Genomic DNA, 15691 nt, shown 5'->3' with positions numbered 1-15691 from the left:
AAAAACCACATGATTATCTCAATAGATGCAGAAAAAGCCTTTGACAAAATTCAACAACCCTTCATGCTAAAAACTCTCAATAAATTAGGTATTGATGGGACGTATTTCAAAATCATAAGAGCTATCTATGACAAACCCACAGCCAATATCATACTGAATGGGCAAAAACTGGAAGCATTCCCTTTGAAAACTGGCACAAGACAGGGATGCCCTCTCTCACCGCTCCTATTCAACATAGTGTTGGAAGTTCTGGCCAGGGCAATCAGGCAGGAGAAGGAAATAAAGGGTATTCAATTAGGAAAAGAGGAAGTCAAATTGTCCCTGTTTGCAGACGACATGATTGTTTATCTAGAAAACTCCATCGTCTCAGCCCAAAATCTCCTTAAGCTGATAAGCAACTTCAGCAAAGTCTCAGGATACAAAATCAATGTACAAAAATCACAAGCATTCTTATACACCAACAACAGACAAACAGAGAGCCAAATCATGAGTGAAATCCCATTCACAATTGCTTCAAAGAGAATAAAATACCTAGGAATCCAACTTACAAGGGATGTGAAGGACCTCTTCAAGGAGAACTACAAACCACTGCTCAAGGAAATAAAAGAGGACACAAACAAATGGAAGAACATTCCATGCTCATGGGTAGGAAGAATCAATATCGTGAAAATGGCCATACTGCCCAAGGTAATTTACAGATTCAATGCCATCCCCATCAAGCTACCAATGACTTTCTTCACAGAATTGGAAAAAACTACTTTAAAGTTCATATGGAACCAAAAAAGAGCCCGCATCGCCAAGTCAATCCTAAGCCAAAAGAACAAAGCTGGAGGCATCACACTACCTGACTTCAAACTATACTACAAGGCTACAGTAACCAAAACAGCATGGTACTGGTACCAAAACAGAGATATAGATCAATGGAACAGAACAGAGCCCTCAGAAATAATGCCACATATCTACAACTATCTGATCTTTGACAAACCTGAGAAAAACAAGCAATGGGGAAAGGACTCCCTATTTAATAAATGGTGCTGGGCAAACTGGCTAGCCATATGTAGAAAGCTGAGACTGGATCCCTTCCTTACACCTTATACAAAAATCAATTCAAGATGGATTAAAGATTTAAACGTTAGACCTAAAACCATAAAAACCCTAGAAGAAAACCTAGGCATTACCATTCAGGACATAGGCGTGGGCAAGGACTTCATGTCCAAAACACCAAAAGCAATGGCAACAAAAGCCAAAATTGACAAATGGGATCTAATTAAACTAAAGAGCTTCTGCACAGCAAAAGAAACTACCATCAGAGTGAACAGGCAACCTACAACATGGGAGAAAATTTTCGCAACCTACTCATCTGACAAAGGGCTAATATCCAGAATCTACAATGAACTCAAACAAATTTACAAGAAAAAAACAAACAACCCCATCAAAAAGTGGGCAAAGGACATGAACAGACACTTCTCAAAAGAAGACATTTATGCAGCCAAAAAACACATGAAAAAATGCTCATCATCACTGGCCATCAGAGAAATGCAAATCAAAACCACTATGAGATATCATCTCACACCAGTTAGAATGGCAATCATTAAAAAGTCAGGAAACAACAGGTGCTGGAGAGGATGTGGAGAAATAGGAACACTTTTACACTGTTGGTGGGACTGTAAACTAGTTCAACCATTGTGGAAGTCAGTGTGGCGATTCCTCAGGGATCTAGAACTAGAAATACCATTTGACCCAGCCATCCCATTACTGGGTATATACCCAAAGGACTATAAATCATGCTGCTATAAAGACACATGCACACGTATGTTTATTGCGGCACTATTCACAATAGCAAAGACTTGGAACCAACCCAAATGTCCAACAATGATAGACTGGATTAAGAAAATGTGGCACATATACACCATGGAATACTATGCAGCCATAAAAAATGATGAGTTCATGTCCTTTGTAGGGACATGGATGAAATTGGAAACCATCATTCTCAGTAAATTATCGCAAGAACAAAAAACCAAACACCGCATATTCTCACTCATAGGTGGGAATTGAACAATGAGATCACATGGACACAGGAAGGGGAATATCACACTCTGGGGACAGTGGTGGGGTCGGGGGAGGGGGGAGGGATAGCATTGGGAGATATACCTAATGCTAGATGACACATTAGTGGGTGCAGCGCAGCAGCATGGCACATGTATACATATGTAACTAACCTGCACAATGTGCACATGTACCCTAAAACTTAGAGTATAATAAAAAAAAAAAATTTAAAAAAAAATAAAAAAAAGTTTTTTCTTTTGTACCAGAAATTCTCTATAAGTTTGAGATTATTTCTAAATGTAATGTTTCTGTGTGTTAACTCTCAAAACATCATATTTATCTGATGATCCACTTATATAGCACTACCCTATAGCACTATAGTACATATTTAGTGGCCAGTCGAGTGTATTTGGAAATAGGTTAAAAATATCTTTCATGTGAATGGAAGAGACACTCTGCTCCAACTATGAGAAGGAGAATATTGTCTGAGTTTACTCTATATTTTTTAGAGCCCCTTCCTTGCCCAGGTTTCAAAATCAAGTTTCAAACTGTTCTATATTTAAGGAGACTTACATATACAACTGGATGCAAAATGTGACTCTAAACTTTACACATTACCATTCCTTTTACTATCAATGACGCCTTTGGAACAACTGGTCAGTTCGGAGGTTTAGACGATGGTAAAGCAATCCTGATTCTGAGTACTGAAATATGATCATGCAGGAGAACGTCTTTGTTGGTAGGAAAATGCCCAGTCTCCCTCCAAAAAGCTGGCTGTGTATTGTCCTTACACTTCACTCACGACCTGGACAAATTTATTACAAGGTAACATAGAGCTGCAAAGGGAGCTCAGGAAAAATAAAATATTTCCTACTGATAGACAAATAGATGAATTTGATGAAATTTTAAGTTAAATAATAGCAAAATATACAGCAAGGGATACATAACATTCTCTGTTAGAGACACATAGTTTTCTAATAGTGTATAAGGCAAACTCTGTACTTTAAAGTCATTTTTTTTTGTTTGTTTTGTTTTATACTTTAAGTTTTAGGGTACATGTGCACAATGTGCAGGTTTGTTACGTATGTATACACGTGCCATGCTGGTGTGCTGCACCCATTAACTCGTCACTTAGCATTAGGTATATCTCCTAATGCTATCCCTCCCCCACCCCCCCACCCCACAACAGGCCCTGGTGTGTGATGTTCCCCTTCCTGTGTCCATGTGTTCCCATTGTTGAATTCCCACCTCTGAGTGAGAACATGCGGTGTTTGGTTTTTTGTCCTTGCGATAGTTTGCTGAGAATGATGGTTTCCAGCTTCATCCATGTCCCTAAGCTTCTCTAATGCTATTCTCAAGCCCATCCACATTGCTGCTTATTCTCATTTGTCAGCTGGCTCCTGCCTGTGACTCTCAGGCAGACTCTGGTCCTGTGCTCATTTTGCTGCTACAACTGAAACTACTAAAAATACTGTCCACCCAGTTTGTGAAGTTACCACCCTGAACTCAAAAGTCGAGATGATTTCCTAAAGATTCCATGACCTTTACAATCTGTTAGCCTCCCACAGCAACACTAGCACACACCTATTTTGCAAAGCAGACTTCTCTTAAGAGCTTAAGGGTAACAGAAAAGGGGTATAGAAATTTACTTAAACTGGATGCTAGACCTCACACTTTTAAATGTCTCTCAATAACCTCACCATGGAGCTTGTCACTGCTATATTTTTGCCAGCGGCTCTCATATCTGCTATGGTTTTGTGCCCTCTTTATCTCCCCTTATAATCTCTCTGCAATTGCTAGCTCACATTGCCAAAACACCTTTAAAATTATGCCTAACTTACTTTTCTTTCAATGGTCTATTTTAAAGTAGACTTTGAGCCATCTATTTTAAGTCTCAAATTTAATTAAGGTTCTGTTAAACATAAGTGCTGTTGACTTAGAATTTCTGCCCTCAGTCATGCAAATCTCATGATAAATCCAACCTTCTCATTTTTTTAACATTGTCTAAATCAGATTCCTACAGATGGCTCTCTGCCCTGGACCAGCCTAATAGAGAAGTATTATGAAAATGCTGTATATCCCCACCCTCCTCAGAGTTAACTCAATAATACAGAATTCGTTTTTTATAATATTTTAAAATATTAAGTAAATTATTTTATTTTAAATATTTTTAAACATATCTCCAAAATTATCTCCAACATCATATTAATAAACTCCTAAAGGTGTTTCTATTAAACTTTTAATCAATTAAGAAGACCTACTTTCATAATTATTTAATATATCCTGGATAGGTGCACCCTGAGGTGCTATAAAATTTTTCATTTACCAGTGACCAAGGAAACAACCAGCGACTTTCAAATCAGCTGTGATGTTTCTCCCTAAGAATGTTCATGGGGCAATGATAAAAGTTAAAACGATCTCCCTGATATTAGTAGTAATTGTGTAGTTACAGACTTCAAATTGTGGCATTTGACTGAGAGAGCCAAGGAAAATTTCATTTAGACGATAGTAGAAGCTTTTGGCTTATTAGTCAAAAAGATGGATGTGGCACAGTGATCTCCACCTATAGTTAGTTAATCATGGGGAATGAAATAAGTGGGCACTCCAGCGACCCAGACAGAGAGAGAGAACCAATCCACTCAACAGAGACCTAACTTAAGCCACTATAATTCACAACCTGTTCACTTCCAATTCTGACAGAGTCACCAACATGAAGAAGTCTAGGTAGCTCTAAGTAAGGTTCTCATTCTAATACCAAAGATATGAACTGAAATCCTTCCAACAATCCTTCTCTGAGTATTTTGGTGGCTGATTTATGGCTAACAAACACTAAAGAAAAGTGTACACCCAAACATTTTGTGGACCTTTAGAGATATTTGGATCCCGTTTTAGAACTATCACCAAATCTTAAGAACCCAGAATGTTACCCAGGCTGCTCATCAGAATGAAGGACTCTAGAGGGTAAGACAGGGAATGGGTTTTGATTTGTCTTCATCTCCTAATAGGTACCATGGAACCTAAAAATCAGTAGTATATTTCCCACTTCCTAAGTGTATATGTAATTGTGGTATAAGGCTGAAGAAGTTGGTAAACATGCACGGTTGATCCATGACATAGAGTAAGGACTAATAAAGTAGTAAGGGATAAATGGAATTTCATGGCACTTCTTGCTAAAATATCATATTAAAATGTATACAGATCACAAGAGGAATAGCAGAGAATTAGTGCCACCAGCAAAGATGACAAAGAAATGTGATGCTTTTTTTGCATTTATCTTATAGTTTAGCCAGTGAAAGGTTAGGGCGCTTGAGAGCCAGTTTAGCTTATCATAATTTTATCAAATGATGAGTGTAGTGGTAGTTATTAAAACAGATATGATTCTTACTAGAACAAAAACATTCAGCGCATGAGAATATATTATGCATATATTTATTTGAAAATGTTTCTCCTTTCTGCTGAAGATGGAACAAAATCACTTTGTTTTTACCTGATAACAAAAAAATAAATATTTGCCATCCTGTAAATTCTCTATTCTCACATGGTCCAAAAAGAAATTGAGGAGCTGTACTCTTTCATTAATTCTGCTTCTTTTTTAAAATAAGGAAAAATAAATGCATGTAGTTCCCAAACTCTCCAGCAGACTATTTACTTCAACTTATTTAAGTATGTTTTAATAGAATATGTTTCCATTCCTGAACTAGTTACCACTAAAAAGGAATAAAAACCCTATAATAAGAATAAACTAGAGATCTACCACTGGTGATAGAAACTTTTCTGACGCGAGGTTTGTCAAGAAGAAAGAAGACAGTGCCTCCCTATGTAGGCAACTGAGAGTATCTACTACAGTACGTGTACCCCACAAAACTAAAACCATCCAGGATGCAGATTAGAACAAACTCACTAGACATTAGATTCTGAAAAGCTGAGATCAAAGGCAAGAAAACACCAAATACAAAGAGAAGTAAGAAATGTATAGTAAGAAATATAACCTCATGACCTGTTTCAAAAATAAGGACTATAGTTTGGTTCAAATTTACTTCCTTGATGAATGTTTTAAGACAACTTTAACATTTAATTAAATTGTTTATGTTTTCTCATTCATATTGAAATGTATATTTGTTTACATATTTTATTTATTATTAATTATAGTAGAGATGATGATAGCTTACCATCAGTGTATAGATTATAAACTATTAAAACAGGATACTCAATTAATTAATATAAGAATGGAAATCGACCAGGAATGTTAGACTAGGAGTTAAATATAGCAACACATAATATTTTGAATCATGTCTCTTAAGGGATAGAATGACAATAATTTTATAAAGACATGAACTTCTTGCATTATGTTACGTGTTGGAAGTTTCATAACTGTATTAACTGAAAGAAAAGAATTTGGACAGTGAAATAGATGAGATGGATTGTTAGAATAATGAGTGGACACATACTCAAAGCTGGAACATAAGGGTCTTATTCACTGGAATTTAATTTTCCAGTAGAAGGAAAAAGAGCCTTAAATTTATTGAAGTAAACATTTCCAAGAGTAGCATTTGACAAGTTTGGCTTGCATGTGAAGTTTTGTCTGTTTTCTGTTTTCTAGTTCCCTAGAATGTTCAGGAGAAACTCATCTTCTCCAGCCTTACCATCGTGTATGTGCAGACAGAGCGAAATGAAATTTATATGACTAAATGTTTATCTTTTGCTTAAACCCAAAGCTAGTTTGTGTAGGTTGTCACAACAGAAATCTAACTAAAAGACATTCAACTGAGGAAGCTGGCCAATCATCAGAGTGTCAAAAAATTTGAACAAGTGGGTGCTTTAAAAGTGTTGATAAAGAAAGAAGGGGCTGGGCGCCGTGGCTCCATTCTGTAATCCCAGAACTTTGGGAGGCCGAGGTCGGGGGATCACGAGGTCAGGCAATCGAGACCATCCTGGCTAACACGGTGAAACCCCGTCTCTACTAAAAATACAAAAAAAAATTAGCCAGGCGTGGTGGCACACACCTGTAGTCCCAGCTGCTCGGGAGGCTAAGGCAGGAGAATCGCTTGAACCCGGGAGACAGAGGTTGCAGTGAGCCGAGAGCGCGCCACTGCACTCCAGCCTGGGCGACAAGAGTGAGACTCCGTCTCAAAAAACAAAACAGAACAAAAAAGAGAAAGAAGGAGCTATTTCAAAAATCTACAAGCCATATTTTATAAACCTAAGAAATATGGAAATTAGTATTTGTAAAGGTTTTGGGTTTTGTTGTTTTGTCTTTTTATGCAAAATTAGGATAATTAGGAAACGACTTTGAAATGAATTCTTTTTTTCATTCATGTTATTTTCTTTTTATTTATTTATTTATTTTTTGGTCTTGGTGTTTTGGTGTTTATTTCTTTTTTCTTTTTTTTTTTTAATTATACTTAAGTTCTAGGGTACATGTGCACAACGTGCAAGTTTGTTACATTTACATTAGGTATATCTCCTAATGCTATCCCTCCCCCTCCCTCCCACCCCACGACAGGCCCCGGTGTATGGTGTTCCCCACCCTGTGTCCAAGTGTTCTCATTGTTCAATTCCGACCTATGAGTGAGAACATGCGGTGTCTGGTTTTCTGTCCTTGCAATAGTTTGCTCAGTCATTCATGTTATTTTCAGTTCTGACATATCCTGCTTTTTTTCTTAACCCACCTCTTCCCTTTTCTTCCTCTTCCTCTCCCCACCTCAACTAGTAGTTTTGTCCTCACTGAGATCACTAGGATAATAGTTTACATTCAGAATTTTTATTGATTTTATCACCTATTCTGGTATCATGAAATTGGGCAAAGTGGTATCATTCTCAACTCACAAGGGTAAGAATAACATAGTTCAGTATCAATCCACCACTGAAACACTTTTATAATACTTTATTAGTTCAGCTACTTCAATCAACATAATTTAAATCCCATAATAAGGAGTTGAAACTATTTGAAAGCAAATGGAGCAAGCTCCAGGTGCTAGTAAACAATGTTTAATTTAGTGATTTTAACGTAATTTGTGAAGTTTAAATCAATACTTATCATTTGCAACTATTTGAATCAGAGAATCTTAGCACCCTGGTAATAGAAAATAGTATTCTAAGTACCCTCACCGAAATTCCATATCAGTACGCCAAATGTTAATAGAACTAAATGTTAGGTAAACACTAACATCACATCAAATTTAAAGACAAAGTGAAGTACATGATGCTACGGATCAATCAGTATATGTGTATGCATGAAAAGTTATAACGAGGGAAAATAAAACAATGCAATACAAGTACGTTGAGCATTTAAGAAGCCTAATATAATCTTCAGCCTCTCAAGATCATATCATTATATTAAAAGCTTTTTCGATGTGGATTTTTGTATAAAGTTTTAATTTTGTTTGAAAACCTGTTATAGTTGTCTTTCTGCACACAGTATGAAGATGATGGACTAGGAATCTCTGTAGTTTTCTCAGAGAATAATGGGTATTTCCCTACCAAAATTGAATAAATGCTCATTGAATCTATGAAATCAAACTACATGAAAATCTCTTGCCTCCCTGCTGTCACATTTCACAGGCCTTAGCATGAACATGGGAGCAAAATGGAAATTTAAGGTGAACAAAACTCCCTGGTCCCTGATGACCTACAAAGATAGCAGCAGCTAGCATCCATAGTTGTCTTAGGTTTTTCCAATCTCATGAAACTATTTCAGAGAATTGCAGCATAACATTTTTCAGAATTTTGGAGGAAGAAGTTCCTCTGAGAGAAGGCTGAAAAATAAGTCAATTATAATTTCATAACAAGCTTAAACTCTAGAGCCATCCCATGAGGACATATGAGGAGCAAACACTAAGTGTGATTTCTTTACTTGTTGAATACTCTTGGGGTAATCACCAAGTTATTTTGGACAAGACTCCTTATTATAAAGTTTTTTCTTTATATTAAGAGAAAGTTTGCTTCTCTATAAATTCCAACCACCTGAATGTCAGAGTCTCTACCCATTACTCTGCTTTCCGAAGGTCCACTGAATACTTCTATCTTCTGACATGCTTTCTAAATTTTAAAAGACAAATACATTAATGCCCCATAGTCTACATTTCTGGATTCAGCATCCTTAATTTGTTAGGATCTTTTAGTAGCGATTGAATAATTTCTAAGTTTCCTTTTCAAAAAGTCTATTGCCACAATTTGACATCAGGCTGTATATAGTCTATCAAGTTGAAATATGACTGCCTAATTATTTGCAATGTATACTCTTTTAAGGCATATGAGACAGAAAGTATTTTTTTTTAATATTGCTTCATACTGATCTTTCAGCCAAAAGAAACTTTAGTTTTATTCTTGTTTTTGTTTTATTTTGGTCTTATGTAAATTGCTACTGAGTTTGGTGTTCCATATTCTTGTTCTGTGACTTCTCTCATATTGTCTTTTCTTTAACTACACTTTTGCAATATTTTATGTCTAACCATTTTTTACCTTTTAGATTGCTGCTTTCATACTATATTTCCATGTTATAAAAACCAATGTCATATATTTGTGTGTCCTTCACGTCTTATTGGTGAGTGCTGCATGTTTTTGGACATAAGGAAGTTTCATTTTATTGCTTTTAAGTTTTTATTGATATAACCTTTTTTTTTTTTTTTGAGACTGTCTTGCTCTGTTGCCCAGGCTGGGGTGCCATGGCATAATCTCGGCTCACTGCAACCTCCACCTCTGGGATTCAAGCAATTCTCCTGCCTCAGCTTCCTTAGTAGCTGGGATTACAGGCGTGCGCCACCACACCCGGCTAATTTTTGTAATTTTTAGTAGAGGTGGGGTTTCACCATGTTGGCCAGGCTGGTCTCAAACTCCTGACCTCGTGATCCACCCGCCTCGGCCTCCCAAAGTGCTGGGATTACAGGCGTGAGCCACTGCGCCCGGCCTTGATATCACTTTTAAACAGAAATAATTCAAGGTTGTTTGATAAAGCCTGCTTCCAGGTTAATGAAGATCAATTAATCAGCTTGAGAAGTGTACACTTTTTCGACCACTATAAATCTAGCCTTTTATTTACAAAGACTATAAAATATTTTATCAGATAAAGATACATTATATGATAATCTTCTGAATGACAATTTCTTTAATCAGAAAAGGGTTTCAATTCACTTTTCCTGATTCTTCAGGAACCTAATGATTCTGTAAAACCTAAGATATTGTATCAAATTATCAGATATATTCCAAGCATTGTGATATGTATACATAACTACAAATTTAATACATAAAATAAACTTTCATCATTTTGTCTATGGATATACTGAATTGTCATCTCAGAAACTGTTCAAATGTGTGAGCTATGATGCTTCTAATTCACAAAGCTGAGGATCCAGAAACTCGCTTCCAATGCGAGCTCTTTACAATCTGACTTCACAACATGTATCTCCAGCTTTAAGTCCCATCCTCCTTCTTCTCCAGCTTATAATCACCCTAAGTTTACTACTCCCATTTCCAGAATAGATGGGGGTTTCCTGGCTCCCTGTTGTTACTCATTCATTCACTTATCAACCTGAATTTCTTTCCCGCCCTTTTATTTTCACTTCTATACTAAAATAACTTATTGATAGCATCAACACAACCTCTAAACACTTGGTGTATTCATTTGCCATCACAACTTAAAATATTGCCTTTAATATGAATTTGGCATGTATAGTTTAAAACCAGGTGCCTATTTGGAAGTCCTATCAGCATATCAAACAACTTAGGCCAACCAACCCTTCTCTCAATCCTGGCTTGGTGGCATAGCTACAAATAGGAAAGACAGGAGGGAACACAAAGAACATTGCTTCCTCAAAAGTAATAGATTTTCATCAGCTTATGACATCTTATTTACATGATGGCTGTTGAGAAAATCATTTTTAAAACTTTAGGTGGTGTAGTGTAAAACCAAGAAAGTATCTGTTCAGTACTTGATTGAAATGACATCTCATATTAAGTGTTCTTAACACACACACACACACACACACACACACACTACAAACAGAAGAAAAAGAAAAGAAAGCAAACTGCAACTATGAAAAAAAAAGGTAGTATAAGAAAAAGAAAATGATTTCCCTGGGGGGAGGAGCCAAGATGGCCGAATAGGAACAGATCCTGTCTACAGCTCCCAGCGTGAGTGACGCAGAAGACGGGTGATTTCTGCATTTCCATCTGAGGTACCGGGTTCATCTCACTTGGGAGTGGCAGACAGTGGGCGCAGGTCAGTGGGTGCGCCCACCGTGGGCAAGCCGAAGCAGGGCGAGGCATTGCCTCATTTGGGAAGCGCAAGGGGTCAGGAAGTTCCCTTTCCGAGTCAAAGAAAGGGGTGACGAACCCACCTGGAAAATCGGGTCACTCCCACCCGAATACTGCGCTTTTCCAACCGGCTTAAAAAACGGCGCACCACGAGATTATATCCCACACCTGGCTCAGAGGGTCCTACGCCCACGGAGTCTCGCTGATTGCTAGTACAGCAGTCTGAGATCAAACTGCAAGAGGGCAGTGAGGCTGGGGGAGGGGTGCCCGCCATTGCCCAGGCTTGCTTAGGTAAACAAAGCAGCCCTGAAGCTCCAACTGGGTGGAGCCCACCACAGCTCAAGGAGGCCTGCCTGCCTCTGTAGGCTCCACCTCTGGGGGCAGGGCACAGACAAACAAAGACAGCAGTAACCTCTGCAGACTTAAATGTCCCTGTCTGACAGCTTTGAAGAGAGTAGTGGTTCTCCCAGCACGCAGCTGGAGATCTGAGAACGGGAAGACGGAGATCTGAGAACGGGAAGACTGCCTCCTCAAGTGGGTCCCTGACCCCCGAGCAGCCTAACTGGGAGGCACACCCCAGCAGGGGCACACTGACACCTCACACAGCAGGGTACTCCAACAGACCTGCAGCTCAGGGTCCTGTCTGTTAGAAGGAAAACTAACAAACAGAAAGGACATCCACACCAAAAACCCATCTGTACATCACCATCATCAAAGACCAAAAGTAGATAAAACCACAAAGATGGGGAAAAAAACAGAACAGAAAAACTGGAAACTCTAAAAAGCAGAGCACCTCTCCTCCTCCAAAGGAACACAGTTCCTCACCAGCAATGGAACAAAGCTGGATGGAGAATGACTTTGACGAGCTGAGAGAAGAAGGCTTCAGACGATCAAATTACTCTGAGCTATGGGAGGACATTCAAACCAAAGGCAAAGAAGTTGAAAACTTTGAAAAAACTTTAGAAGAATGTATAACTAGAATAACCAATACAGAGAAATTCTTAAAGGAGCTGATGGAGCTGAAAACCAAGGCTCAAGAACTACATGAAGAATGCAGAAGCCTCAGGAGCCGATGCGATCAACTGGAAGAAAGGGTATCAGCAATGGAAGATGAAATGAATGAAATGAAGCGAGAAGGGAAGTTTAGAGAAAAAAGAATAAAAAGAAATGAGCAAAGCCTCCAAGAAATATGGGACTATGTGAAAAGACCAAATCTATGTCTGATTGGTGTACCTGAAAGTGATGGGGAGAATGGAAACAAGTTGGAAAACACTCTGCAGGAGATTATCCAGGAGAACTTCCCCAATCTAGCAAGGCAGGCCAACGTTCAGATTCAGGAAATACAGAGAACGCCACAAAGATACTCCTCGAGAAGAGCAACTCCAAGACACATAATTGTCAGATTCACCAAAGTTGAAATGAAGGAAAAAATGTTAAGGGCAGCCAGAGAGAAAGGTCGGGTTACCCTCAAAGGGAAGCCCAACAGACTAACAGCGGATCTCTCGGCAGAAACTCTACAAGCCAGAAGAGAGTGGGGGCCAATATTCAACATTCTTAAAGAAAAGAATTTTCAACCCAGAATTTCATATCCAGCCAAACTAAGCTTCATAAGTGAAGGAGAAATAAAATACTTTACAGACAAGCAAATGCTGAGAGATTTTGTCACCACCAGGCCTGCCCTAAAAGAGCTCCTGAAGGAAGCACTAAACATGGAAAGGAACAACTGGTACCAGCCGCTGCAAAATCATGCCAAAATGTAAAGACCATTGAGGCTAGGAAGAAACTGCATCAACTAATCAGCAAAAGAACCAGCTAACATCATAATGACAGGATCAAATTCACACATAACAATATTAACTTTAAATGTAAATGGACTAAATGCTCCAATTAAAAGACACAGACTGACAAATTGGATAAAGAGTCAAGACCCATCAGTGTGCTGTATTCAGGAAACCCATCTCACATGCAGAGACACACATAGGCTCAAAATAAAGGGATGGAGGAAGATCTACCAAGCAAATGGAAAACAAAAAAAGGCAGGGGTTGCAATCCAAGTCTCTGATAAAACAGACTTTCAACCAACAAAGATCAAAAGACACAAAGAAGGCCATACATAATGGTAAAGGGATCAATTCAACAAGAAGAGCTAACTATCCTAAATATATATGCACCCAATACAGGAGCACCCAGATTCATAAAGCAAGTCCTTAGTGACCTACAAAGAGACTTAGACTCCCACACATTAATAATGGGAGACTTTAACACCCCACTGTCAACATTAGACAGATCAACGAGACAGAAAGTCAACAAGGATACCCAGGAATTGAACTCAGTTTTGCACCAAGCGGACCTAATAGACATCTACAGAACTCTCCACCCCAAATCAACAGAATATACATTTTTTTCAGCACCGCACCACACCTATTCCAAAATTGACCACATACTTGGAAGTAAAGCTCTCCTCAGAAAATGTAAAAGAACAGAGATTATAACAAACTATCTCTCAGACCACAGTGCAATCAAACTAGAACTCAGGATTAAGAATCTCACTCAAAACCGCTCAACTACATGGAAACTGAACAACCTGCTCCTGAATGACTACTGGGTACATAATGAAATGAAGGCAGAAATAAAGATGTTCTTTGAAACCAACGAGAACAAAGACACAACATACCAGAATCTCTGGGACGCATTCAAAGCAGTGTGTAGAGGGAAATTTATAGCACTAAATGCCCACAAGAGAAAGCAGGAAAGATCCAAAATTGGCACCCTAACATCACAATTAAATGAACTAGAAAAGCAAGAGCAAACACATTCAAAAGCTAGCAGAAGGCAAGAAATAACTAAAATCAGAGCAGAACTGAAGGAAATAGAGACACAAAAAACCCTTCAAAAAATTAATGAATCCAGGAGCTGGTTTTTTGAAAGGATCAACAAAATTGATAGACCGCTAGCAAGACTAATAAAGAAAAAAAGAGAGAAGAATCAAATAGACGCAATAAAAAATGATAAAGGGGATATCACCACCGATCCCACAGAAATACAAACTACCATCAGAGAATACTACAAACACCTCTACGCAAATAAACTAGAAAATCTAGAAGAAATGGATAAATTCCTCGACACATACACTCTCCCAAGACTAAACCAGGAAGAAGTTGAATCTCTGAATAGACCAATAACAGGATCTGAAATTGTGGCAATAATCAATAGCTTACCAACCAAAAAGAGTCCAGGACCAGATGGATTCACAGCCGAATTCTACCAGAGGTATAAGGAGGAGCTGGTACCATTCCTTCTGAAACTATTCCAATCAATAGAAAAAGAGTGAAGCCTTCCTAACTCATTTTATGAGGCCAGCATCATTCTGATACCAAAGCCGGGCAGAGAGACAACCAAAAAAGAGAATTTTAGACCAATATCCTTGATGAACATTGATGCAAAAAATCCTCAATAAAATACTGGCAAACCGAATCCAGCAGCACATCAAAAAGCTTATCCACCATGATCAAGTGGGCTTCATCCCTGGGATGCAAGGCTGGTTCAACATATGCAAATCAATAAATGTAATCCAGCATATAAACAGAGCCGAAGACAAAAACCACATGATTATCTCAATAGATGCAGAAAAAGCCTTTGACAAAATTCAACAACCCTTCATGCTAAAAACTCTCAATAAATTAGGTATTGATGGGATGTATTTCAAAATAATAAGAGCTATCTATGACAAACCCACAGCCAATATCATACTGAATGGGCAAAAACTAGAAGCATTCCCTTTGAAAACTGGCACAAGACAGGGATGCCCTCTCTCACCACTCCTATTCAACTTAGTGTTGGAAGTTCTGGCCAGGGCAATTAGGCAGGAGAAGGAAATAAAGGGTATTCAATTAGTAAAAGAGGAAGTCAAATTGTCCCTGTTTGCAGATGACATGATTGTATATCTAGAAAACCCCACTGTCTCAGCCCAAAATCTCCTTAAGCTGATAAGCAACTTCAGCAAAGTCTCAGGATACAAAATCAATGTACAAAAATCACAAGCATTCTTATACACCAATAACAGACAAACAGAGAGCCAAATCATGAGTGAAATCCCATTCACAATTGCTTCAAAGAGAATAAAATACCTAGGAATCCAACTTACAAGGGATGTGAAGGACCTCTTCAAGGAGAACTACAAACCACTGCTCAAGGAAATAAAAGAGGACACAAACAAATGGAAGAACATTCCATGCTCATGGGTAGGAAGAATCAATATCGTGAAAATGGCCATACTGCCCAAGGTAATTTATAGATTCAATGCCATCCCCATCAAGCTACCAATGACTTTCTTCACAGAATTGGAAAAAACTGCTTTAAAGTTCATATGGAACCAAAAAAGAGCCCGCATCAC

General features: G+C 38.3%; 2 annotated features.

Annotated features, from left to right (window-relative positions):
• Positions 10867 to 11425: an enhancer, noted in NCBI's record as "H3K27ac-H3K4me1 hESC enhancer chr12:55480888-55481446 (GRCh37/hg19 assembly coordinates)". NCBI's record gives its function as "activates a minimal SCP1, AML or CMV promoter by ChIP-STARR-seq in naive H9 embryonic stem cells {active_cell/tissue: H9 hESC(naive)}" and the evidence as "EXISTENCE:reporter gene assay evidence [ECO:0000049][PMID:30033119]".
• Positions 11426 to 11985: an enhancer, noted in NCBI's record as "H3K27ac-H3K4me1 hESC enhancer chr12:55480328-55480887 (GRCh37/hg19 assembly coordinates)". NCBI's record gives its function as "activates a minimal SCP1, AML or CMV promoter by ChIP-STARR-seq in naive H9 embryonic stem cells {active_cell/tissue: H9 hESC(naive)}" and the evidence as "EXISTENCE:reporter gene assay evidence [ECO:0000049][PMID:30033119]".

This window comes from Homo sapiens, chromosome 12, assembly GCF_000001405.40.
Source record: "Homo sapiens chromosome 12, GRCh38.p14 Primary Assembly".
In the NCBI taxonomy this organism is placed as follows: Eukaryota; Metazoa; Chordata; class Mammalia; order Primates; family Hominidae; genus Homo; species Homo sapiens.
Note: the sequence above shows the minus strand (reverse complement) of the source record. Positions and strands in the feature narration are given on the sequence as shown.